Here is a 27,481-nt window from a genome sequence, read left to right on the forward strand (position 1 = left end):
CTGAGGAAAGAGACATTTAATTACAGATATAATTTATGTGAGTAAGCATAATCATTTTAAATTTCTAAATAAATAGGCATGTCATTAAATATAAAGCATCAGGAAAGGATTTCAAAATCTGTATGGTTCATCTGCGTTGGCAAATTTGATCTATTCAGAGTTTACTCTGGGCGGGGGGGACCTCATGATTCCATCTTTATGGCCCAACTGTTGATTAACTTCCAAATGAAAATGCTTGATTCAGCATGTATTTTCTGTAAGAAAGGTATTTTTCACATGCTATAGCCAGGCCAATCTGTGTCTTCAATTGTTGTTAAGACACTAGTATATCTTTAAATCTTTTCCACTTATTAATTTCAGCAGATTATTTGTACACATTTCTCAGGCTATTCTGATATTTCAAATGCCTTGAAAATGTTGTAGCTACATAAATTAAATGGGCAATTAAGATGTCACCATGCAATTCTATACAATACATACTTGCAATGGGATACTTGTGAGGGTACCATTATCCAAACTGTCCTATTCATCAGCCTTTCTAGAACTTTAGAGATGGGAGTCAGTCAGCTGGGTTCCAGTCATGGTGAATGGCATGCAATGATCTCGAGGAAACCACAAAGCACATCTTCCTATGTTTGCATTTCCTCATCTATTAAATGAAGAGAAGACCTGGATCCTAACAGGACGTCTGCGAAACCCTCACGAAAGGTTAAGAAAAGAATAAAGAACATGACAAAGGTAAGGTTTACATGCTCTTATTGTGGCAGAAGGGAAAAAAAAGCAGAAATGCATATAAATACCTCACAGTTTGTCACACAAAGCACACATTTAAAAAACAATAACAAAAAACAACAAAAATAAGCAACCAAAAATAATTAACAGTAGTTCAAGTAATTTAAACCTGTATTCTCTCCTGAAGAAATACCAGATAGGTAAAATATACTCCCGAGCCACCACAAACTCTCCTAAAATCCCTTTGTCCATTTCTGCCACTTTCAACATCCATCTTCCACCCAGATGCCAGCTTGACCACCTCCCCCATCAAAGTCACCAGACTGAGCTCTAGGAAAGTCTTCATTAAATAGTGAACACATGACATATACTATCAACTCAGCTTGACCTTACAACATAGGTGCTATGGTTTGAATGATGGTGTCCCTTCCAAACTTAAATTTAATTAATTAATAATTAATTAAATTGTTGAAACTTAAGCCCCAGTGCAACAGTATTGGGAGATGTGGCCCTTGGGTAGCGATTAAGTCATGAGGGCGAGGCTCTCATGACTGGGATTAGCACCCTTATAAAAGGGCTTGAGGTCAAAAGGAGTACTCTCTTGCCCATGTGTCCCTCCTGCCATGTGAGGACATGGTGTACTTCCCTCCAGAGGATGCAGCAACAAAGCACCATCTTGGAATTAGAGAGCAGCCCTCAACAGACACCAGTCCTACTGGTGCATTGATCTTGGACTTCTCAGCCTCCAGAACTGTGACAAATTTCTGTGGTTTACAAATGACCAAGTCTGTGATATTTTGCTACAGCAGCACAAACAGCTTAAGACAATGGATAACTAATCTAAGTTCCAAAACTAGTGGGCTTTTGACATGCCTTGGAAGTAGACAGATAAAGCAGTAGCCAAGATCTTTTCTCATCTTTGCATAAGCAAATCGTAATTGACAAACATCAGTATCTCAGAGCATTCAACAAAGTGGCAATAAGTAAATAGATAACTGATGAACATACAGAATCGAAAGGCTGACGTGGGTTTCAGGTTTCTCTGGGTTGTGGGGCATCCCATGGCCAAGTACTGAAACTCTTCCTTGAATAACTATCTCCAGAGTTTGAGCCATTGAGGCTCTTGGTGACAAAGACAACTGATATGCTTGGATCCATCAAATAACATATCAGCAATTCATGCCCCACTGATAGTAGAAAAGTGCTGCAATCATTTTATTCTGAAGAGAGCATAAAGATTTACACCACATGTCAAGGCTAGATGTTGTTCTGCCACCAGGAAACTTGCTGTGTGAGACACACAAAAAATTAAACACCTCAAGAAATACAGCTTTCTGGAAAACATCAATACCTCTTCTTTTTATTGTTACATTTTTCTAATGAATCTTTCACTGCAACAACTTATGCAGAGAAGTTATGTATCCTGGAATTATTCTACTTTTTGATAACCATTTTTAAAGCTTTATACTTTATAAAGCTTTTTTTATTCTCCCAATTCACTTAAGAATTTGCAATATCCACCTCGAGGTTAACCTGAAACTCAATTTCACAGCTAATTCCAACTAAACGTCTTCTCCAGCTTTCCAGATGCCATCTAACCAGTTATATTCTCACTGATTCAGCAGCATATTCAAAGAGACAGAGAAGAACTGACATGATGCTGATGAAGCTTAAACTTCAGGGTCCCTGTTGCATGGGCCCTCAGAGTGCCAAGAGTCCTTGGGAGTCCGTGTTCTAGCTGAGAGGAAACATGAAGAGGCATTTCTCTGTAAGCATTTGTGGCAAAGAGATCTTGAAAGAAAGGGAACCGGCCGGGCGTGGTGGCTCACGCCTGTAACCCCAGAACTTTGGGAGGCCGAGGCGGGCAGATCACGAGGTAAGGAGATCGAGACCATCCTGGCTAACACGGTGAAACCCCGTCTCTACTAAAAATACAAAATAAATTAGCCAGGCATGGCGGCGGGCGCCTGTAGTCCCAGCTACTTGGGAGGCTGAGGCAGGAGAATGGTGTGAACCTGGGAGGCGGAGCTTGCAGTGAGCCGAGATTGCACCCCTGCACTTCAGCCTGGGCGACAGAGTAAGACTCCATCTCAAAAAAAAAAAAAAGAAAAAGAAAGAGAACCAAATCATTTCACTGAATCATTTTGAAATAAATACTCACCTTTGCATCTAATTTTGTATTCATAATCTTTTCCTCTTTTTCTTAAAGAGGACCTCCCAAATTGTATGAGCTTCCAACTCCACTAAACCTGAGTCTGCCTGATACAAGGGAAGGCATGTAAAAATACTTCTTAGTTTATACTCTCCACTGCGCAAGTTTTCAATCTATAAAAAAACTCCTGATCTTTAAAAATAAAAAATAAAGGTTGGGGAGAGGGTAGTAAAAAGTTACTTTAAATGTATATTTTTAAGAATGCTGATTTCATTATGTATTTTCCAATACCAAAATATAAAATAAAATAGAACCTGCAGAACTTTTGGCTCTCTGACATTTCTCCCCAGTGACTTAAAACTTTCAGATGAATGGGACATCTGGGTTCTGAGAAGAATGGTGTATTATTACTGCTCTCCACAATAGCAGGCCTAAATGGATTTTTCATGTTTAGACTAGTAAACATAAAAAGCAAACCTATCTCACATGACTGATACGTTTGCCTTTAACAAAACAACCCCGGCCAAAAATTATTAGAAAACAGATCAGCAGCCCCACTGGACTCTGAAGCAATGTAATTAGGTAGTCCAACACTACATTTTGTCAAAAAATTCTGACAACCTAATAACCAGATTGTCATCAGATAGACATTAAAAAATGATACCAGGTTTGCTCCAGCATTAAAATACCACCACTTTCTGGGTTTTTTTTCCTTCTGTAAAAATAAAAATTAAAAATCTATCAGTGATGCATCCCATTGGTCTGGATGGTGTTTAAATGAGTCTGTGCCACTTGAAGGATGGCAAAGGAAGTTTTGTTTTGATTTAAAGTTTAAGAAAGAATTCTTCTTAGGACCACCTGCTTAACGTTAATCACGAAATCCCTATGTGTTAAGAGGGGTAATTATAAAATGGAATGATAATAACAATAGTAACCGGCAGTTATTGAGTGTTTAGATTGTGCCAGGCACTGGGTTTCATTCTGTTGAATGAAACCATTACTGGACTCCCAACAACCTTGATGAGAGGTGCTACTCTCACCCTCATTTTCAGAGGTGGAAGGGAGGCTTATCAAGGCTAAAGAATCCACTTGCACACCCAACAGAGGCCACCTCATGCTCTTAACCTCTGCAATGTGTTGCTGAGAAGGTGGTTAGTTTGGATTTGACAGGGTGAGGTGGTGGGCATTGGGGATAAGAGGTGTTATTTTCAAGAAAACCATTACGTATGTGGCCTTCCAGAATATAGTAATCTAGTATGTAGTCTGGCCTGTAAGCCAAATTTTATGTATAGTGTGACACTGAAGAAAAAAACGTTGTAATTATAGGTTAATTCACACAGTTAATGCAATTAAATAGAAAAAGGTAGAAACCTTAAGATATAGCCTTAGGTTCAAATATACTCTAGCCTCCATTTAATTAGTCAATTATAAAAAATTGTCCACTAACCTGTACAAGAATAAACCTCAGGGAGTACATTTCTAAGATGACCTTTGGAACCCTAGTATCTGAAAATCTTACCATTTTATCTATTAGGATATAAATGAGTTATCTGGTATAAATCACTGTCAAATTTGCACAAACAAATGGTGTGGCTGACAGTCAGTAATAATTCAATGACACCAATTTTTTCCCCAACATGAAAACACCCCAGATTACTCAGTCAGCCATGCCATGGCTAGATTTGCAAGGCACTATAAAGTTTCCAAAGTATTTGTCCACCACGTGATTTTGTTTGACATCCACAAGCCTACATTATTTCTTTTTCTTTTTCTTTTTTTTTTTTTTTTTTTTGAGACAGAGTCTCACTCTGTTGCCCAGGATGGAATGCAGCAGTGCGATCTTGGCTCACTGCAGCCTCTGCCTCCTTGTTCAAGCAATTCTCCTGTCTCAGCCTCCCAAGTAGCTGGGACTACACACATGTGCCACCATGCCTGGCTAATTTTTGTATTTTTAGTAGAGACGGGGTTTCACCATGTTGGCCAGAATGGTCTTGATCCCCTAACCTCGTTATCTGCCCACCTCGGCCTCCCGAAGTGCTGGGATTACAGGCATGAGCCACCATGCCCAGCCAAGCCTACATTATTTCTTAAACACAAAAAGATCATTCCGAATTTCACAAACAATGTTGAGCAAAATATGCCACACACAAAGAAGCCCATACCGTATGATTCTATTTATTATATAAAATTAGTCCAGGCACAGTGACCCACATCTGTAATCCCAACACTTTGGTGGCTAAGGTGAGAGGATTGCTCGAGGGCAGGGGTTCAAGACCAGCCTGGGCAACAATAATGAGACTCTGTCTCTTATAAAAAACTAAATTAACCAGGTGTGGTGGTGCATACCTGTGGCCCTAGCTACTTGGGAGGCTAAGACGGGAGGATCACCTGAGCCCAGGAAGTCAAGGCTGCTGTGAGCTATAATTGTGCCACTGCACTCCAGTCTGGGTGACAGAGCAAGACCCTATCTCAAAAAAAAAAAAAAAAAAAAAAAAAACCACCCAAAAACACACACAAATTCAAAAACATGGTAAAACCAATCGCAGATGAGTCAAGATAGTGACAGCCTCAGTGGAAGCAAGCATGGTAGTGAGTGGAAGATGGCATCAGAGTGTCATGTTCTACCTCTTATTCTAGATGCTGGTTCCTTAGGCATGATGACTTTGGGAAAATTCATCAAGATGTACAACTTGGATTTACAAGTATACAAATCCTATAGCATGTTATGCTTCTACAGAAAATTGACATAAAACAACCATTCTCTCCCTTTCAGTTTGCTAACTAGACCAAGAAGAAAAGATACACTGAGAAAGAGGGTGGGCACTCTGAAAACACTGAGAAGTTTGACTTTACAAACTATTGAGCTACTGACAGTCTTGTTAAAACCTCTTAGCGTGCCTTTCCCTCACGGCATCAATTTATATAGCAATTCACTACATTAATTCTTGTAATGAAAGTGTGAGGAGATCTGTAGTCAATCATAATTGTGCCCTGCAAATTCCAGAAAATGTTTGCTGGGATGTAAGCCTCTGATGGCTGGCTCAGCAAGTGATTTAGAGCAATGTGGTGAACTTTCATAATAACAGCTCATTAACAATTGCGTTTAAAATGTAAACAATTGATATGTTTTTAGAAACACCAGTACTGATTAGGTTTATTTCACTTTACAGGAAGTCAGAAGATAATATGCTAAGCAGATTTTCCTTTCTTCCCTCTCAACGATAAATTCAATAATAGTTAGGTTAGACCTAGTTTTGTTTTCAGTTTCCATGAATGAGAAATGTGAAGACCATGGGGGTTCCAACTCAGTCTCTCTTCTCCAGTTTTGTGTTTAGGAAGCACAGACTTGAAATGTATTTTGCATGTCTTCCAAGACTAAATACCGAGGTTATGTTTGTGCAGCTGTCTGAATAAAACTGATGCTACCTCAAAAAATAAGTTGATTCAGTCACAAAAAAGTACCAAGCAAAGTATTAATTGATTTAATTGCCCTGCTTTTATTTAAAGCTAGACAAGAACTATGGGGGAGGGACCTTATCAATGATGTTAACAGATATATATGTATATGCCCAGCACCTAGCCAAATTATAGAAAGAGCATGGGAACTGCTTAATGATTTGCTTTACCAGTCAATCTTTATGTGGAGTGGGGCATAGTTAATGATAGTAATCATTTTAGGCCTGAGTTCCTTTAAATTATCAATTTAATATTTTTATTAAATATATGCATTTCAAGTACATTTATCTCCGTTGCTTTTTCGACTAAAAAATAAAGACAAGGAATTCAAATGTTTGGATTATTTTCCCTCACTCATACCAAATACAAGGAAAGTAAACATAATGAAGTTAAAGTAATATTCTTAGCTTGACAAATCACATATTGGGGACATGAGAAGCCTAAATTATCTGAAGTCAATTAATTGTTCTTTGTCAACGGAAAGAAGAATTTAGCTCCCAAACTGGATAAAATCCCAGCCAAGTAATGACCAATAATGGCAATAATAGTAACATTATATTTTTCCTGTCTCTTGATTATCAACAATCAAGAGGCTATAGCAAATAAATATACAAATATATACTGTGAAAACATCAATATTTGTATCTACAAGAAGGATGAAAAATTAACTTTGTGTAGTAATATCCCTCCACTGTATTTAGGAAAAGACAATACAACAGACCTCTAAGAATGGGTGTTCCTTCTGGTACTTGAAGGAAGCACACAAACAAATATATTATGGAACTGGTGGGGAAAAAAACAGTCATCCAGAATCACAGGGCTGAAGAGAGCCCAGGATGTCACCTGGCCTGTCATGTCCAGAATACTAACAAGTTTCATTTAATTCCAGCATCACAGGCTGCTCTGATATTCCCTGGGTTCCCTCTCCTGGCTCTGCCTAAAGACAGACCCAAAGACCAAAAAAATCTACCATGTAGTCCAAGTCGTCTAATGCTAGCAAGCCCCTGAATCTTGCCACATAGGGCCCACTTATAATTGCAGTAACATGTCTCTTTCCTAGCCTAATTACTATTCTTGGAGAAAAATCTCTCTTTGTTTTGACAATTTTTCCTATCCCTTAGAAAAAATGGTTCAGGAATAGATTCTAGTATTATTTTTCATACATGAAATAAATATTCTATTTATTCTATTACATTTCTGTTCTATAAGTGTATGGTTAGATGACTGTTACTATTCTTTCTGGCTACTGGACATACCAAGTCTGGTTTAAATACTCTAACCAGAATTAGTCCATGCCAACATAAGCATTTAATGAGAAAGGATCCTGGGGCTACATGCTCCATAGTCATGTGAAATCGGATACTCTGAAGGGGAAATAACTTTCTCTGAAGTGTAACCATTAACTGAAAGAGAAAGCTTGGTGTGGTATGAGTCATGGGTAACATGGGTGAATCACAGTCCTGATGGGCAGGTGGCCATCTCTGAAGAGGATTTCAGAAATGCTCTCCCCACCTTGATCAATTAAATTCTCTTATTAGGATAGAAAACATTGTATTCCACGGTTAAAGTATGAAATGCCTACATAACCAGATAAAATGACACAACTGTTCCAAAAGTTCAGTTATTTACATACTCCTTTCATGATTTGTATAATATCTATGAGCCAGTGTTCTATATTAATACAACATTTCTCTTTAAATCAACTCAATTCTGCCAGTCTAAATTACCTTTTTGAAGAAGACAATTTTATATCCCCACTGTAAATATCCAATGTCACTGGTATACATATTGTATATAGCCAATATCACTTGCCATAAATAGAAGGAAACTGAAAAGATTTCATGTGACTAACCAAAAATGTATTCATTCATCTCATCTCATGTACCACATGGAATACTGTAACAAACTGGTTTAAATTCATACTAGAGAGTAAATGAATGATAGAATTCTCAACACCCCTCCATCCTGTCCTATTAATGAGATTAAAGGTTGAGGGACCACCAAAAGAGGTAGGCAGGGCCCTGAGAACCTGAAGGAGCATGTATTCAGGATAGGGGGTATGGGGGGTGGGGTTGGATGTCACAAGCTATGAGAAGTAAGGGTACAAAAGAGCAGACAGTAGCCCACTTCATGATTATTTATATCTGGGGCTGTCCCTGAATGTGTCATAGAGGAAGTCCTCTGTACTGTTTGATTTGAAGGCCCTTCTACTTCTATGCACCATCTCTTTTAGACATCCACATCTGAGCTCACAAATTATCCATCACAAAGAAATCACATGCTGTTAATAGGTCTCTTCATTGTGGCTGACAGTGCAAAACAAATGCCAGTCCCTGTGCTGAGATACAGATTTCTGGAATACTAACTGGGATTCCCAATGTGGGGAGACACAGTAGTAGAGGTCACTCCAAGGACTCCTGGAACATGCTCCTGAATTCTGTTGCTTCTTGCCATACTTGCCACAGAGTGCCGTTATGTTCTAGCTCTCTCTGGGTATCCTTCTCTCCAATCAGATTCTCAATTCTCTCATCATCTTTCTATTGCTCTTAATACCTAGCTCTCAGCAAAACAAGTGCCCAATTTATAGAAAAAGCGAGTAAGTGACTCTGAATGAATCAACCACAAGTGAATGAATGAATGAAAACAGATCAGCTTTGCAGAAAGAAGCACCTGCTTACCTAAGGTATATCCCCAAATTATCCCAACCTCATCTAAAGTTATCAGGGAACACAGCACAAATTCATTAGCATCCTGCTGCCTTTTCAGAGAAATGACAGGTTCTTCTCCCCTTGCCTGATCAAAAGATTTGCTGCACTCTCTCTCTTAAAATGCCTCCTTGTTACAAACTGTGCAATCTTGGTCAACTTACCTAACCTCTCTGAACATCTGTTCCCTTACTTGTTAAATATTGAAGAACAATATCTGCCCCATGAATTGTGATAAAGATTAAATGAGAGATTTCAAGAAAAGTGACTGTAGTATATCAAAAGCCAAAAAGCCAGCTACATTTTTGGACCAGATCACAATGCCATGATAAATATCAATGGAATAATGGTCCACAATGTCACACCACATGCTTTCATTCTGCTGTCCTCATGACTTCCCTGTTTGCCAGCATCAGGGTTTTTCACGTTTACAAAGAAAATGGAGCAGGTTAGCAGGTCTCGGTGGCATTAATGGGCAAAGCATCATGGGCAACTGTTGTTCATAAATGCTCCTTCTCAAATGTATCCTGGGTTGGTGATGACCACAATTCATTTCCATTTTGAAGCGCCCTCCATTTTTTACTTCTTTCTCAGTCTGAATCTCCTATACTTGTAATACTGACGGAGCTTCGCTAGTTTCTAAATCAGAAAGATGAGCACGTGCAGCCACAGGAAGAGAAATCTGGGACCTGATGCCTATAATATTTTTCAGACAGAGAATATTCCCCCAGTGTCTCTACCCAGGAGATAGTAAACTACTCTGACATTTCAGCTGTTGCCCCTCCAAGCAGATTCACACACCTCTCGGCTAACATCCCCTTTGGGCAGGCATCTACTCATGTTTACAGTTATTCATTATGACTGGCTATACACAGACAGTGCCTCTGGTGTCAAACTGAATGGCCCCTTAGACCCCCATTCCAAGACAGCCAGAGGATACAGACATATATTAAATAAGACACAGGCAGGAAAACTGCACTGACTTCCTTGAGATGGGGAGGCTGAAGCCAACCAAAGCTGACCTGCTAGAGAGTCCTCCAGAGCTCCAGTGTGGGATGACTCACAGCAAGGAGCACGGGATCAAAATTTTTGAGGTGCTTCAGGGTCAGAAAGTTTTCCAGAACAGCTTCTGCGGATGTCTGTGAACAAATATGCCAGCAAGGAAAAAGACCAACTATTTTGCAGGGGAATCATCTTGAACCAGAAGGGCCAGCATGCATTCTAAGTGCCAGGGCAAGTTCCCAACCCTCTGAGCTAGCTCACATCTATTGTGATTCCACACATCTCTCCATGGAATAATCTGTCCAAGAACACACAAGCAGAGAAGTGCCCTTCTCCATCTACAAGCATCTAAATGTAGAGTCATGAGAGAAGGTGAGAGGCAGTGACTTCAAGAGGTGGCCTCTAGACCTCAGAATCCACTCTAATGAACACGCTGTGTTTAAACAAGGGATCTCACATTTTCTCAAAAGGCAGTTAGACACATTCACATACTTAGGAGTGAATCTAAGAACTCTAGAAAGAACGGCACATTTCCCTACTGACACAGTTGTATTGAAAAATCAATCTGTGGCTCTAAGGGAAATGAGAAAACACAACTGGTGATTTCTAGCACGGCATCCAATCTTCACTTTTGTGATCCCTCAATTCTCAGTTCAAGTATAAATAGACTTTTTCCCCCCCACGAAGTAGGAAAAGGATTAAGTAGGCAGGACATTTTCTAAGTTCTGTGTAGCATATGTTCATAAGCTTTCCTTTTGTAGCATTTATGGATTCATTCTGGAGTAGGGTTAAGCCGGAGCAAAGCAATTTGGCATGCTTGCAATTTGCTTTATCAGGAGAAGCAAGCACAGACTGCAGAGGCCACCTCGACCTGAGCAGCAAAGAAGCTTCCCAGAACCCTGAGGGAGACACTGATTATTTTCCTTACAGGGATGCTCAAGCTGAGCCAACCTCCTTGCAAAATAGTCAATGAGCTTCATTCAGATTATCCTCAGGAAAGCAGTGGCCAAGCAGACACAAGTGATCATCATCATACGAACTTAATTTCTGACCAAATTCCACAATCACACTGCTCTTCCTGAAGTCAGTCAGGCAGTATCTATACTGCTACACAAACCTCAGGGTCAGCATTCCAATCCATCCCAGCCTAAGGATCCCATTCAGCAGCAGAGGTGCTTTTCAAATCTGTACATCCACTTCGGTACTTTCTATCCACATGAGAGAACACACTGCAGCAGGAGATGAGGATGCAGTAGGATAATTCTTAATGTTCACAATATAATGTTGAATGGAAAAAGCAGTATGTGCCATTTTCTTAAAATACATGCCCACATAAAGAACTAACTGGGAAAAAAACACCCAGAAATGTCACTTGGAGTCATCTCTGGGCTGTAGGATTATACACAATTTCTATTTTCTTCTCTTAGCTGAACTGGTTTCCAAATATTCTAAAATGCAAATGCATTACTTTTATAATAGTAATAAAGTAATTCTAAAGTGATTTAAATATATAGACTGTGATTCTCAAAATGCAGGAGTTAAAGAAAAAAATAAAGACATAGACTGAACCTTACAAAAAAGATTTTTATCCACAAAACAAAGAAGCATTTTCATTAAAACAATATAATTAACCTGCACCATTAGGAAAGAACTACATCATATTTCACATTCAATTTTGTTATTATCACCATCACTACTTCTTAAGCATCTGCTGTACACAATGCCCTGTAGCGGGTATAAGTACTCAAAAATAAACCAGGTGGTAACTAAGTTATTTACATCACTGGGACTCTTCCAGTGTTATTAAAGTTGAAGAACTTGAAAAGCAGCATTTATTAATAACAGGGGCATTAATCCAGCTGCCTGCCCTGTACTCCACTTACCCAGAGAGTCTCTCCCAGTCCTGCCAAGCAAGATTAAGTAGAATTAAGACGGCAGCTAACCAGGTAGACCTTGTGCCCTGGGCCACAGGTGACTCTGGCAAGGGTGGGCGCCTGACCTACATCAAACCATTCAGATTCTTTCCCCCAGGAAGGAGGAATACAGTTAGTCTCTATCATCCCCTTGAATGAGGCACAGGGAGTTGCACGGGTAGCCATAGCTGGCTGGATATGCAAAGAAGCCAGTCTGCAGACAGAAGAGGTGAGAGGCTATGAGGATCCTGAGACAGTCTCCTGCTCTTTAGGATGGGATGCTGAGAGATATGTTTGTCCATTTACCCATCCCACTCTGGTTAGTTTTTGAGGGTCAACCACTTCCTGGCCTAAGGCTTCAGGAAGCTCACCATCTAACCTTTTGTCAAATGAGTAAGCTATCCTGTGGCCTTGTAGAAGCCTCACCTTTCATCGTTTTTGTCACTGTTTCTTTTGTATTGGTTCTTGAAAACAAATTATCTCTAAGACATAGTTGCAAGATTCAGAACTCTGAACTCTCTTCACCCACTCCTTACAAGCTGAATCCCTCCTCCTGTCCTTCTTTTCAGATCTTAACTTAAACGTCATTAACTCTGACCGCTCCAAATGAGGAGGCCTGCTATGTTTTGCCTCTTGATGTTTCCTAAATAAGATTTACATAACTTTTAATTGTATATGCTTTGTTGGTTTACTAGTTCTGATCTGTCTCCTTCCCTAGGGCATAAAATAATCTGCCCGACCCATGTTCCTTGTACCTCACACAGCACATTCCTAGCATATTACAGAAGATCAATAGTATTGAATGCATCAGTCAGTCATGTAGGTGAGTGCATATTCATTCACTCAATATACAAATAATGATTGAGCACTTGAAATCTGCAAGGCTTAGTCCTTTCTTGATAAGGAACTAAGGAACTAATGATTCAAAAAGGAGATTAGGTACATATGCAAAGACAAGAACATAGACACAGCAGACACTGCTGAGGGCCTGTCACACAGAAATTTCCCTCTTTGACAAAGAAGGCCATTACACCATGGTAAAGGGATGAATTCAACAAGAAGAGCTAACTATCCTAAATATATATGCACCCAATACAGGAGCACCCAGATTCATAAAGCAAGCCCTTAGAGACCTATAAAGAGATTTAGACTCCCACACAATAATAATGGGAGACTTTAAAAACCCACTGTCAACATCACACAGATCAACGAGACAGAAAGTTAACAAGGATATCCAGGAATTGAACTCAGCTCTGCAGCAAGCGGACCTAATAGACATCTACAGAACTCTCCATCCCAAATCAACAGAATATACATTCTTTTCAGAACCACACCACACCTATTCCAAAATTGACCACATAGTTGGAAGTAAAGCTCTCCTCAGCAAATGTAAAAGAACAGAAATTAGAAGAAACTGTCTCTCAGACCACAGTGCAATCAAACTAGAACTGAGGATTAAGAAACTCACTCAAAACCGCTCAATTACATGGAAACTGAACAACCTGCTCCTGAGTGACTACTGAGTACATCACGAAATGAAGGTAGAAATAAAGATGTTCTTTGAAACCAATGAGAACAAAGACACAACATACCAGAATCTCTGGGACACATTCAAAGCAGTGTGGAGAGGGAAATTTACAGCACTAAATGCCCATAAGACAAAGCAGAAAAGATCTAAAATTGACACCCTAACATCACAAATTAAAGAACTAGAGAAGCAAGAGCAAACACATTCAAAAGCTAGCAGAAGGCAAGCAATAACTAAGACCAGAGCAGAACTGAAGGAAATAGAGACACAAAAAACCCTTCGAAAAATTAATGAATCCAGGAGCTGGTTTTTTGAAAAGATCAACAAAATTGATAGACCGCTAGCAAGACTAATAAAGAAGAAAAGAGAGAAGAATCAAATAGATGCAGTAAAAAATGATAAAGGGGATATCACCACCGATCCCACGGAAATACAAACTACCATCAGAGAATACTATAAACACCTCTATGCAAATAAACTAGAAAATCTAGAAGAATTTGATAAATTCCCGGACACATACAACCTCCCAAGACTAAACCAGAAAGAAGTTGAATCTCTGAATAGACCAAAAACAGGCTCTGAAATTGAGGCAATAAGTAATAGCTTACCAACCAAAAAAAGTCCAGGACCAGAGGGATTCACAGCTGAATTCTACCAGAGGTACAAGGAGGAGCTAGTACCAGTCCTTCTGAAACTATTCCAATCAATAGAAAAAGAGGGAATCCTCCCTAACTCATTTTATGAGGCCAGCATCATCCTGATACCAAAGCTGGGCAGAGACACAACAAAAAAAGAGAATTTTAGACCAATATCCTTGATGAACATTGATGCAAAAATCCTCAATAAAATACTGGCAAACCGAATCCAGCAGCACATCAAAAAGCTTATCCACCATGATCAAGTGGGCTTCATCCCTGGGATACAAGGCTGGTTCAATACACTCAAATCAATAAATGTAATCCAGCATATAAACAGAACCAAAGACAAAAACCACATGATTATCTCAATAGATGCAGAAAAGGCCTTTGACAAAATTCAACAACCCTTCATGCTAAAAACTCTCAAAAAATGAGGTATTGATGGGACATATCTCAAAATAATAAGAGCTATCTATGACAAACCCACAGTCAATATCATACTGAATGGGCAAAAACTGGAAGCATTCCCTTTGAAAACTGGCACAAGACAGGGATGCCCTCTCTTACCACTCCTATTCAACACAGTGTTGGAATTTCTGGCCAGGGCGATCAGGCAGGAGAAGGAAATAAAGGGTATTGAATTAGGAAAAGAGGAAGTCAAACTGTCCCTGTTTGCCGATGACATGAATGTATATCTAGAAAATCCCAACGTCTCAGCCCAAAATCTCCTTAAGCTGATAGGTAACTTCGGCTAAGTCTCAGGATACAAAATCAACGTGCAAAAATCACAAGCATTCTTATACACCAATAACAGACAAACAGAGAGCCAAATCATGAGTGAACTCCCATTCACAATTGCTTCAAAGAGAATAAAATACCTAGGAATCCAACTTACAAGAGATGGGAAGGACCTCTTGAAGGAGAACTACAAACCACTGCTCAGTGAAATAAAAGAGGATACAAACAAATGGAAGAACATTCCATGCCCATGGGTAGGAAGAATCAATATGGTGAAAATGGCCATACTGCCCAAGGTAATTTGTAGATTCAATGCCATCCCCATCAAGCTACCAATGACTTTCTTCACAGAATTGGAATAAACTACTTTAAAGTTCATATGGAACCAAAAACGACCCCGCATCACCAAGTCAATCCTAAGCCAAAAGAACAAAGCTGGAGGCATCACGCTACCTGACTTCAAACTATACTACAAGGCTACAGTAACCAAAACAGCATGGTACTGGTACCAAAACAGAGACATAGATCAATGGAACAGAACAGAGCCCTCAGAAATAATGCCACATATCTACAACTATCTGATCTTTGACAAACCTGAGAAAAACAAGCAATGGGGAAAGGATTCCCTATTTAATAAATGGTGCTGGGAAAACTGGCTAGCCATATGTAGAAAGCTGAAACTGGATCCCTTCCTTACACCTTATACAAAAGTTAATTCAAGATGGATTAAAGACTTAAATGTTAGACCTAAAACCATAAAAACCCTAGAAGAAAACCTAGGCAATACCATTCAGGACATAGGCATGGGCAAGGACTTCATGTCTAAAACACCAAAAGCAATGGCAACAAAAGACAAAATTGACAAATGGGATCTAATTAAACTAAAGCACTTCTGCACAGCAAAAGAAACTACCATCAGAGTGAACAGGCAACCTACAGAATGGGAGAAAATTTTTGCAATCTACTCATCTGACAAAGGGCTAATATGCCAAATCTACAATGAACTCAAACAAATTTACAAGAAAAAAACAACCCCATCAACAAGTGGGTGAAGGATATGAACAGACACTTCTCAAAAGAAGACATTTATGCAGCCAAAAGACACATGAAAAAATGCTCATCATCACTGGCCATCAGAGACATGCAAATCAAAACCACAATGAGATACCATCTCACACCAGGTAGCATGGCGATCATTAAAAAGTCAGGAAACAACAGGTGCTAGAGAGGATGTGGAGAAATAGGAACACTGTTACACTGTTGGTGGGACTGTAAACTAGTTCAACCATTGTGGAAGTCAGTGTGGTGATTCCTCAGGGATCTAGAACTAGAATTACCATTTGACCCAGCCATCTCATTACTGGGTATATACTAAAAGGATTATAAATCATGCTGCTATAAAGACACATGCATACGTATGTTTATTGTGGCACTATTCACAATAGCAAAGACTTGGAACCGACCCAAATGCCCAACAATGATTGACTGGATTAAGAAAATGTGGCATATATACACCATGGAATACTATGCAGCCATAAAAAATGATGAGTTCATGTCCTTTGTAGGGACATGGATGAAGCTGGAAACCATCATTCTCAGCAAACTATCACAAGGACAAAACACCAAACACCGCATGTTCTCATTCATAGCTGGGAATTGAACAATGAGAACACATGGACACAGGAAGGGGAACATCACCCACTGGGGCTTGTTGTGGGGTGGGGGGAGGGAAGAGGGATAGCATTAGGAGATACACCTAATGCTAAATGACGAGTTAATGGGGGCAGCACACCAACATGGCACATGTATACATATGTAACAAACCTGCACATTGCGTACATGTACCCTAAAACTTAAAGTATAATAAAAAAAAAATAAAATAAAAAAAGAAATTTTCCTGTTTCACCTCACAGGTAAAGCCCTGTGCTGGTTAATTTTCTGTGTCAACTCAACTGGGCCATGGGGTGCCCAAACTAAATATTATTTCTGGATGTGTCTGTGAGGGTGTTTCTGGGTGAGATTAGCATTTAAACAGAAGGCCATCACCCAGTTTGTTGAACAGAAGAAAAGGAGGAGAATGGAGAAATTTGCCCTGTTTCTGCTTCACTGTGTGAGCTGGGATACATGATCTCATCTTTGCCGGCCCTCAGACTGGGATTATGCCATTGGCTCCCTTGGTTCTCAGGCCTTAGGACTTGGACTGAATTACACCACCGGCTTTCCTGGGTCTCCAGCTTGCAGACAGCACATCATGGAACTTCTCAGCTTCCAGAATCACATAAGCCAATACCTCACAATAAGTAAATAAACCAATAAATAACCTTTTGGTTCTGTTTCTCTGAAGAATCCTGACTAGTATAAGCCCCAGTTTTATTAGGGTGGCCTCCCTCCATAAAGCTATGTACTCAAGGGAAGGTGAGATTATCCCAGAAAAGAGATAAAACCCGATTAGTTTAAAACAGGGAAAGGGTTAACAGCTGCTCTGATATCCCTTTAGCTCCAAGGGCAGCTGGGCAGACCCAGAGCAGCCAGAGACCCCACACCCATGCCCTACACACACACATCAGCCACTCCAGCTGTGAGCAGCCTCTTCTGATTGCTTAACATGCCGGCCAAATTGTATTTTCTATGTGCACCATAACAAGAACAAAGTTGGGAAGCACCAATCTAAGCCACCAGGGATGAGCCCCATTCCGCGTGCCAGTGTCTGATTTAGGAAGGAGCATGGGACTGCAATCAACTAAATGAGACTTAAGGGGAAGTCAGCTCAGGGGTTACAGGAACAGTTCCTTGCTTTTAAAAAGGGACATATAAGAACAGATATTTTATTTTGCCAGTGGATGTTGCCATGTCTGCCTGTAGCTCCCAAAAAGGAACCAGCCATCTTAGAACTATGAAGGCAGCCAGTCTAAGAACTAAGTCAACACACTGAAGATGGCACAGGAAAAAGAGCAAGAAATAGACACTTTGGTAACAATGTTGAGCCACTGAATTAACAAAACTTGAAACTGCACCCCTCCCAGGAGGTCTTATTCCCTGAGATAATTCATTTCTCTTATTCTGATGGGTTTTTATTTGGTGGATTTTCAAATGTAACTTGGTAGAGCAATTCACAAAATAATTGACAGTGCTTAGCAATCTGTCAATAGCTGAGTGCTCAAAATCCTCTCCCTGCTACACAGTGACAACCATCAAAGGCACCCTGGTGGGTCCCCAGTTGCTTGGCAAAAGTGGATTGCAGTTAGATTCCAGACATTTGGAGCCAGGATTCTATAATGCCTTCCCATCAATCATGACATCCCTGGGGCAGCAGGTAGACTTGCAGAGGGCAGGGAGCTTTTTTCTTTTAATTCCCCTATTGTTTGAACCATTTCAAGTTGACTTTTTGATTATTTGCAGCCAAAGGCATCTTCGGTGATAAATCCATCTTCACATAATTAGCAGCAAATTTATGTGGCCTCCTTTGAGCAAAGACTCAGGAGAAAATGATGCAGAGATTCATAATTCCACCCACATTCCCCAAAATCTTTAGATGATGGGTCTTCAGTGAATTCTCTCTACAAAAAAAAAGACAACTGAGATGCCAGAAAAAGGATTAATCATGTGATCATCTGACACTTATCATGGGAGTCATAAAGTACCACACAAATGGTGAGGCATCACCTTGTCTCAGTGTTGAATTAGGGGCAGCATAATTTTAAAATATCAATTTGTACTCTTTGTTATCCCTCCTGTGTATACTGTTCCCTTTCGCATCTCAAAAACTTCAAGACTTTGCCTTCTTCCCTTTGTCTCCCAGACATATTCAAACGCAAAAGATGCTAAAAGACAACCACCAATCCCCTAAATCCAGTCTCCATTAAAGACTTTTCTTTTTCAAAAAAGCCTAAATTCATTGAAGGGAATGTGTTACATCCCAGCAGAAAGGTCCAAAATAAAGACAATTTGGGTTGTTTTGTTTTGCTTAAAAGTGTTGTTCTTTGATCTGTTTAGGTGGGCACTTGGAGTACAGTAAGGATTGGGCTTTCCTGGTATTGGAGAGAAGCTGGAGCAGTTCCTTAAAGTAGTGGACGCTGGCACCCTGCTTCCTGGCAGAACTCTAGAGAGGTGACAGGACTTTTGATCGGGATAGTGATGGGATACTGGGAAAATGACTACCAAGGCCTTGAAGCCACAGCGAAAATCCCAGCCTTCTTTGCACAGATACAACAGGACTACCCAACAATGCATGGACAAGAAGCCTCTCATGGTGACCAGAGTGGACTAAAGTTCAGGGGGCCTTTTTAAAAATGTTTTATGCTATAACAGACCTGCAGCATTTTTGCATCAATGACCTTAAGTGAGCAGACACTCCAAACACCACTTAGAACTTCCCAACATTTAGAGAAAAAAAAAGTAACCAGTTATGCATGTATGCATGCTTGCAATTCATGCAGCATTCAAAACAATTTTTCAGAATGAAATCTTTAAATCAGAGTGCACACTCAGTTTGTATTTTTAGTTGATTTGACACATCATGAGCAACCACAGGATTCCACAATACCAGGCCAAGTTCCCACTGTAGGGATGGAAAGGTGTGATACCTTTCCTCACCTCTCACAAGAGTCACAGCCAACATTCCTATAACAAAAGACAGGTCAGCAAGAGAAAAGCATAACAAATGTATTTAATCAAAGTTTTATGTGACATAGCAGCCTTCCGAAATGAAGACCCAAAGACTAAAGGAAAATAGTTTTTATGCTTAGGTTCAGTGAAGAATGCACAGCTGTGTAGAAATGTGGTAGAACAAAAGGGGTGTGTTCTACTGGAAATAGAAAATAGATTGGCGGTGGTGGGGGTGGTGGTGGGGATCAGCAAGGCCTGACTATTCAGATTCTTATTGGCCTCTCTGTGTAACGTTCTTTCTTCCCAGTATGGAGCAGGGCCTCTATGGAATGAGGATCTTCAAAGGAGAAGGAAGAGAGTGACTTTTCTAGGTTTAATGGCTTGCTGTGGGGAAGAGACATTCTAGTTTCTATGACCCACCTTAGGGAAGAGGAATTCTGGTTTATACGACTTGCTTAAGGGGAGGAAGAGAAGTAGGAGACAGTATTATGGGAGACTGCCACAAAGACCTTGGTTCTGAGGGCTTTCCAATGTATTTCCTTCAGTTCAAAGTACTCAGGATGCTAAGGTACCATACTTTGGGGGATTGGGTTCTAAGACCCGACACCACTAGTTATTTAATATTTTCCTTCCTGCAAATCCTGCTACCTTAAAAAAAAGGAAAACTAACTGTACAACAGGTAGTTCTGTAGCTAATGAGCATTATTAAATATTTTCAAAACATTCCAATAAAAGGCAATACCAAACGGCTTTTATCCTAATACTTTCTAAATAACGCCACATTCATTTATGAGGAATTGCATTTCCCTCAATGTTCTGGGCATTAATGAAGATTGAATATAAATAAAAGAATTGCCTTATATGTATAGCACTTTAAAGAGTTGAGATTCCCAAATAATACAAAAGCATTTTCAAGTCACACATGGTATGTAAAGTGAAAATGTTCTTGAAGGAAATATCCTCTAATAATACTTACCTACTTCAGAGGGTGATGGGAAGCTCTATTAACACCAAAAGAACACTTTTAGATCTTCAAATAAAAGCACTATACAAATGCAAAGTATTATTATTATAGTTCTGAAATAATTTCACACCTAGGGATGAGAAAACCCCAGGCCAAATTTTATTGCTTCTCTCATACGTGATAAACAAGAAATGCCATAAGCAAGGGGCGAGGGGGGTGGTTAGTGGGGGGTGTGATAGTGGGGGAAGTGGAAATCAAACAGAACAAAGACTTCAAAGTTTCTCTTTCACTAGGACTTTGTATTTGCCCAGATGTCATTTAGGGAACTCTCAGGGAAGAAAGAAAAAAAAAAGTCCCTTAAAGGTCAGAGTTAAGTACAGGGACAAAGTTCTCATTGCTTTTGTACCAGATAAAGCAACAACCGGCTGAGCTGAAAAAAAATAAGCTTGTCTACTTCTATGGGACATAATTTCTCCCAAAGCACTTCTCAAAAAAAAAGAAAAAAAAATGGCCAGATGAATTATTACTGAATCACCCACTAGTGTGATGATCTCACCTATGAAGTCAAAAGGTAGCTGCTTTAACAGACACCAGGATTTCTAGTCAATTACTGAGAGCACTGAGCAAGACATGTTATTGCTGATGGTAGTGGTGGTGATGATGATGAAGATGATAATGATGTTGATGATCATGATTGTGATGATGGTAATTACGGTAATGATAGGATATGGAACAGAAGTTCTCAAACCTGCTGATCAATGGAATCACCCCTAGAGCTTTTTACAATACAGATTTTTGGTTCTCCACCTCAGCCCCACTGATTTTGAATCTCTGAAGATAGAACTCAGAAATTTTTTTTAAGTAGCCATCAGGATAACTGAAGTGACAGTATTTGTAAGTAATATAATGATTAAGAATGCAGGCTCTGTGAACAGACTGGCTGGTGTCTTCTCCCAGTTCTAACACTTACTAGCTATGTGACCTTGGAAAAAATACTTAGCCTTAAGTCTCAATTTCTACAACTATAAAATGGAAATACTAATATGACCCACCTATGAAATTGACATGCTATTACTACCTACCTTATAAGGTAGATGCCTAAAGTAGGCAAATTTTTTTAAAAGCACATATTAATTCCAAGAAAGACAAAAAATTTTATATTAAAGAAAACATAACAAATACCATTCGGCTTAGCAACAGAAAAAAATTACGTAATCATGATAATGTAAATATTACCTGTTGATTTAAATAAAAATTGTAATATAACTATGTCAGGAGGCTGTGGGGACCAGAAGTGGTAAGAGTGGAAAGGATCAGAGAGCTATTGCTAAAATTGATAAATTAGGAAAAAATAATATAAGTACATTATTTAGAAAGAGAGAGGTGAACACCAGAAATATCAGAATAGAAAGTTGCTAATTCTGGGAAGCAATCCAGAGAGAGGTAGAAAGAAGGCATAGATGTTGCAGTTTTTAAATATTTGCTATTTAATGCTGTTTTATTTAAACAATGTAGATACACTGCTTTGATAAAAATAAAAATAAAATGTAAAAGGTAATTTGTAATGCATATAAGTACAATATGGTATTTCTTTATACACTGAGGCTACTATAAAGCTTTTCAATTTACCAAAACTTGCTTTTAAAAAAAAAAGATATAATATCTCCAACTATGCAATCAAAATGTCCATTTCTTAAAAGTGTACAATAAAGACTTACTTTTTACCTGGCACACTCTAAATCCTAAAAAGATATTTGCTGAATTGGGCTGAGGATGGTGGAAAAATATATAAAGAACAAAGTTCCTTTGTACAATCAAGGTCACAGCAGGAAGGAGATGACATCTTCACCTGGGGTGAAGGCAGGGTTAAGGGAAGACCACTAAGGGATGGTCTAGTGTGCTGGACTTAGCAAAAATTCCATTAACACTCCAGACTCAAAGGGGAAAAGGGAAGAGGCAGTTACCAGACAGTAGAAAAAGCTGTAGCCGCTGAAGAGAGGCCCCCAACCGGAACTGTGGCCTTCCTTAGAGGGATACAGCCATTGCCAACCCACAATGCTGCAGGGAAGAAAGTAGGGAAGAATATTTCAACCTCGTGTTCCCAGGTCTTCATCCAGTTCCTTCCCCTGGCTAATACAACAGAAAGCCAGCAAACAAGGGAGCCCAGAGAATGCCTGCGATAGAGGTTAGGCCCATGGTGCAGAGCCATTTAGAAGAGAGAGGAGCTGGAAGCACAAATGTGAATACCCAGCACAAGCACTATACAAGGTGGTTGTTGCTGTTGTCGTTGTTGTTGTTGTTTAATCTGTCTCTTTTTCCTACTCAGCCTCCTAAAACAAGCCCCTCAAATTTTCATCTGTTTAAGAAATATTCATGGCATGATAGTAATAAACTGATGTTATGCATTTGTTAAAATTTACTAAGCACTTTCATATATATTGTCTTCATGTGATCCTCAAAACAGCCCTGTGCAATAAATAGGGCAAAAGTTATCCTCATTTTACAGGTGAGGAACCTCAGATCTTAAAGAAAGTTAGGAATCTTGCACAGAGTCACAAAGCTAGCAAATGGCAGAGCCAAAACTAGAAGGAATGTTTCCTAATACCCCAGCTAAGGCTCTTCCTTCCATATAATACTGTCATGCTATTTATTCACAGTAGGAGTGCAAAATTGATATACCTGTTAAAAAAAAATTAACAAGTTTTGTTCTAGGCACTGCACAGAGCACAGAAGTAGTCAACAAATAAGACACAAGGGGAAATAGAGAAAACTTGCCCATTCCATTCTCATTCTACATTCCACAAGCAATGCCAGAACTGGAAGTAATTGAGTTTTCAATCACATTTTACACATCATTGAAAAGAAGGTGCTCAGTAGGGTAAGAACAGTGTTCAAATGAGAAATAAAAATTCAGGGAAAAGTAGACAAATGTCTAAAGAATATACCTGTTGTGTTTGGGGTTGCTGGGGGTAAACCGAAGAAAATCTCAGTCCCTTAACAATCCCCATGACACAAAGAGACCAGGGCCCCAGAAATTGGGAGGGATGACTTCTCCGCTTCTCTTCTCATTTCCAGCTCTACGCCCACATACATACACCTTCTTTGAGAGCTAAGAGAAGCAGCCAAGAGTGACTTTTCTGTACCAAACACAGGAGTACTGGGAAGTTCAGCAAAATAACCCATTTTTGAGAGTCTAATAAAGAACTCTGTACTTTTTGTAATCTACTGCAAAACACTGAGCTACTTACACATGATGAAAGAAAGTAATGAGTGGCATTTTAATTGTAAACCTCCAAACATACCATATTTATTCCAGATCTAGCTCACTAATGAATAGACTATACTATCAATGAGGGTTCTGTAGTTGCAAGCAGAAGAAACAAATTGGCTAATTTAAGAATTATTGGAAGGATACTGGAGTCTCAGCCAATCCATGGCAGAATGGAAAATAAGGTTTGGAGGCCATGACTACTAGCCAAGACAGACATGGAGGCAACAGTGGTCTCATAGTACATGTTGGCAGATCAGAATGCCCACCTAGGACAAGGGAGAATCCTTTAGCTAAAGAATCAAATTCCAAAGAAGGAGCATTTACTTAGCCAAGCTTGTGGTCATACACCCATCCATAGGCAGGGTGCAGGCCCCTGAGTAGGGCCCCTGGTTACAGTTCCACTAGCCTAATTACCTCAAAAAGAAATAAAGATGCTGTTAGGAAGGAAAAACATACACGACAGAAAAAAAAAATTGGTGGGGGGGTTCCCTCTATACTACCAAGGCTTTCTTTAAAAATTCTTGAAGAAGCTAACTAGCAGTAGACTCTTAATTTCTCAAGACTATTAACTAGTAATTGATGACAACCAAGGAAGGTAGTTTTCCTAATACCTACAAAACTTCAGCCTAATAACTTTTCACTTCCAGAGGCCTCACTTCCTGTATTACCTGAAAGTTACCTTTTCATTTGATTCCTAAGGACCAAGCAGAATTTTCCCTTCTTTGGTAGCAACATGCTTATTTTAGAAATATTATCCTGAAGCTTCTAAAAAGAATAGACTTATAAAAATGTATAATGAATAAATTCATAAAGATGCTGTTGCTGCTGCTGCCGCCGCCGATGATGATGATGATGATGATGATGATGATGATGATGATGATATTAATAAGAGCAGTGGCAGCTCACATCTACTGAGCACTTATCATGGGCCAGGACTTCTAAGTCCTTGACACAGAATACTTCATTTAATTCTCCACACCTACATGAAGCCAAAAACAGTATTATCCCCACTTCACAGATCAGGAAACTGAGACTCTAAGAGGGTGAATAAGTTGTCCGCAGTCCAACAGCTAGTAAAAGCCAAATCATGACTAAACCCATGTCTGATTCCAGAGTACCAATTCAACAAAAGATTTTCATTGAGAATAAAGAAAATGGACTGTGCCTGTGTGGAAACATTCCCCAAGAGGAAAGGAAGCACCATATCTGTGCCAAAAGATTACAAAGTTGTTAAGATGGCTACATCACCACCAAATCCAATTATTCATGAGCATTTATTTCTAAAAGCTATCAAGTATTTCTTTATTCCAAGATGTGGCTCAATGGTCCAGAGACATGTAGTTGTATGGCCAAAAATAAGAATTATCTACTGCTTAAGATAGTAATTTCTTCACTGATGTTCAACAATTATGGCAAAATTCCAAGCCAACCAGTTTTCATGCACCAGAGTTTAGTTGCCCCAAAGCAAATCCTAAGAAAAGAGGATTTTTTTATAACTCATATTTTTATTATCTAAAAGGGGTTTTCTCCAATATCCCTGTAAAATTCTTCTTTGCCCTCCAAATAAACATGAAAAATTCAGCCCCAGAAATAGATTTGTCAAGAAGTTAGGAAGAACTTAAAGTACATGGTAAATCAAAATGGCTTTTCAACTTTAACTAAAGTGGTCATAGTAATAATTGCTGCAATAAAAATGACAGAAAAAAACCCTAAAAGTATCAAAAATGTAATTTATGATGAAAACAAATGTAAAATTATAGCATATTTCACCCTGGCCACCAAAGACTCTTGATGAAACCGCAGCCCTATAATTGCCCAGAATGAATTCTTTAAATTAAAATACTTCATGCAGAACAGAAATTAAACAATGAATCAAAGAACAAAGCTGTACAGAGGTATGCTCATAAATATACCTAGCAAAGAGGAAACAATTACATTTTTCCATGTAAAAACCAACTTGATTGTAATGTTTCACAAGAGACCGAGTAGGTACTTTTCCCATTGCTTCAAGCTTGGAAGTTCATTTCCTGTAATTCATTTAGGGCTCAGAGTGACTGGGTGGAATGAAATTAGATACACCAAATTCAGTGGCTCTTTTCTTTCTACAAAACTGGCTCTTCCATGCAACTGCACAACTGACTTTCACAATAAATTTCATTCAACCCAATTGAAATGCCACTCTGCATTTTATTTTAAATGCTTTATTTGGCCAGCTAGTTTTATTTAACTATTGGCCAGAAGTGGTACAAGTGCATTCTTTTTCCATCTAGCATTAATCTTAGTAAACTTAGCTCCATTGGAATGTCTTAGCTGCTGAGAAGAAAGCAAAAGTCAGCAAGCATACAATTGCATTTGTCTACTCTCAACACATCATTTTATTTCCTCCTGCTCTCTGCTAACTATTGCTCAGCACTTTTGCCTAAGAGGGAGGACAAGCAGGTGGTTAAGGAAGTTGTCCTGTCAGCTATATCTTTAGTCCAAGTGTTTAAATCTCTGAATAAAAGAAAAATCAATGTTGTAAAGGCAATGTTTGTCAAGGCCATGTAATAAATACACTTACCTTTACAGACTGTTCTCAGTGGATTTCTCTTCTTTCCTGAGCTTCAAAGCTACAAAGACATAAAAATGAAAGACAGAGTTGTCTGTGAGTACAACAACAAACATTTTCTCCCCATGTCTCTAAATAGAATTTCCATATGCCATGGTATATGGTGCTAGCCAAATAAACCATTGATAAAACTTGTGCCTCATACCTCCCGCACAAGAGGCCAAAAAAAGACAGTCAGAAACTGAAAATGGTGCACACATCTACCCAGAATTGAAGCACACAAACCTTGGCCAAATCTACAGTCAAATCTTTTGGAGTGTGTACTCCTCAACAGAATGGGAACGGCTTATAGCGAGATGAAAATCAAATTAAACATGAGTGTGACATACTCAGTCTGACTAAGCATTTTATTTTCTTATTTCTTTTTGTCATCTTTCTTGCATGCTCTATTTCCATTTCTCTGAAAAAGTTTCACTTAGGGATGCCTATTCCATTTATATGACATGCATGGTCCTTCTAATATAAACCTCACCACTTGCTCCGTAAGTATATGTGTGCATGATTACAGGGACAATCACCCTTCCTGTATGTAGACTGCAGCCTTCTCTCGGAAGAAACTCACAAAACAGAGGAAGCCACAACTTGACATTTCAAATCAAATCTTGTTAACTTCAGCTCTCTGTGATCAAAACATAAATACTATGCACTGACCACACACAAATCAATGTGACAAAAGATCTGCAAAAGCAACAGTAATAACTTACAGTATCGTGAAGCTGGTTCTTTAATCATCCAATCTTACTCATAAGGTGCCTCTACAGTCACCAGTAATGGGAATATGATTCTTTCTCTCATTTTTGGCTAGGTCCTAACATCTCCGAAAGGTGCAGTAGTTGGGGATAGACAGCTACACCACAGCTTTTCCATGGTTCTTTTTTTTTCCTTCAATATCTGAAGGGATTGTTTTAGCTTTTACTGGGCTGTTTCCCTCCACATCCCTCTATTCCATCAAAGAATGCATTACCACTGATGCATGACCACCAAAGAACAGGTCAGACTTACGGGCTAAGATGTAAATTTCAGACTATTAATGCAGGAGGTAGGTCCCTTCTATGGGACAGCATCAGAAATTTCTCCTTCCCCCTGAGCTACACCGTTTACCAATGAGTTTAGAACAAGCAGAGTTTGGAGAATATTAGATAAAATAGTGTAATATTGCATTTGTGAAA

General features: G+C 39.2%; 1 protein-coding gene across 8 annotated transcripts in view, besides 3 other annotated features; it reads right to left on the bottom strand.

The window, feature by feature from the left end:
- Positions 1-27,481, bottom strand: part of FHIT (fragile histidine triad diadenosine triphosphatase) — a 1,504,176-nt gene that overhangs the window by 1,427,076 nt on the left and 49,619 nt on the right. For 7 of the 8 annotated variants that reach the window (NR_148921.2, NR_148922.2, NM_001354589.2 and 4 more), the window contains exon 2: positions 26,265-26,313. The gene's annotated coding sequence lies outside the window, so the exon portion shown is untranslated. Of the gene's footprint in view, positions 1-22,397; positions 22,492-26,264; positions 26,314-27,481 lie in introns of all 8 variants that reach the window. The other variant, NM_001320900.2, reaches the window with a different exon arrangement.
- Positions 7,624-7,918: a silencer, noted in NCBI's record as "tiled region #15147; K562 Repressive non-DNase unmatched - State 24:Quies". NCBI's record gives its function as "represses a minimal TATA promoter and a strong SV40 promoter by Sharpr-MPRA in K562 cells {active_cell/tissue: K562}" and the evidence as "EXISTENCE:reporter gene assay evidence [ECO:0000049][PMID:27701403]".
- Positions 7,624-7,918: an enhancer, noted in NCBI's record as "tiled region #15147; HepG2 Activating non-DNase unmatched - State 9:DNaseU". NCBI's record gives its function as "activates a minimal TATA promoter and a strong SV40 promoter by Sharpr-MPRA in HepG2 cells {active_cell/tissue: HepG2}" and the evidence as "EXISTENCE:reporter gene assay evidence [ECO:0000049][PMID:27701403]".
- Positions 7,849-7,898: an enhancer, noted in NCBI's record as "active region_20021". NCBI's record gives its function as "activates an Ori minimal core promoter by ATAC-STARR-seq in GM12878 lymphoblastoid cells {active_cell/tissue: GM12878}" and the evidence as "EXISTENCE:reporter gene assay evidence [ECO:0000049][PMID:35858748]".

The sequence above is a fragment of the Homo sapiens genome, chromosome 3, assembly GCF_000001405.40.
Source record: "Homo sapiens chromosome 3, GRCh38.p14 Primary Assembly".
Classification (NCBI taxonomy): Eukaryota; Metazoa; Chordata; class Mammalia; order Primates; family Hominidae; genus Homo; species Homo sapiens.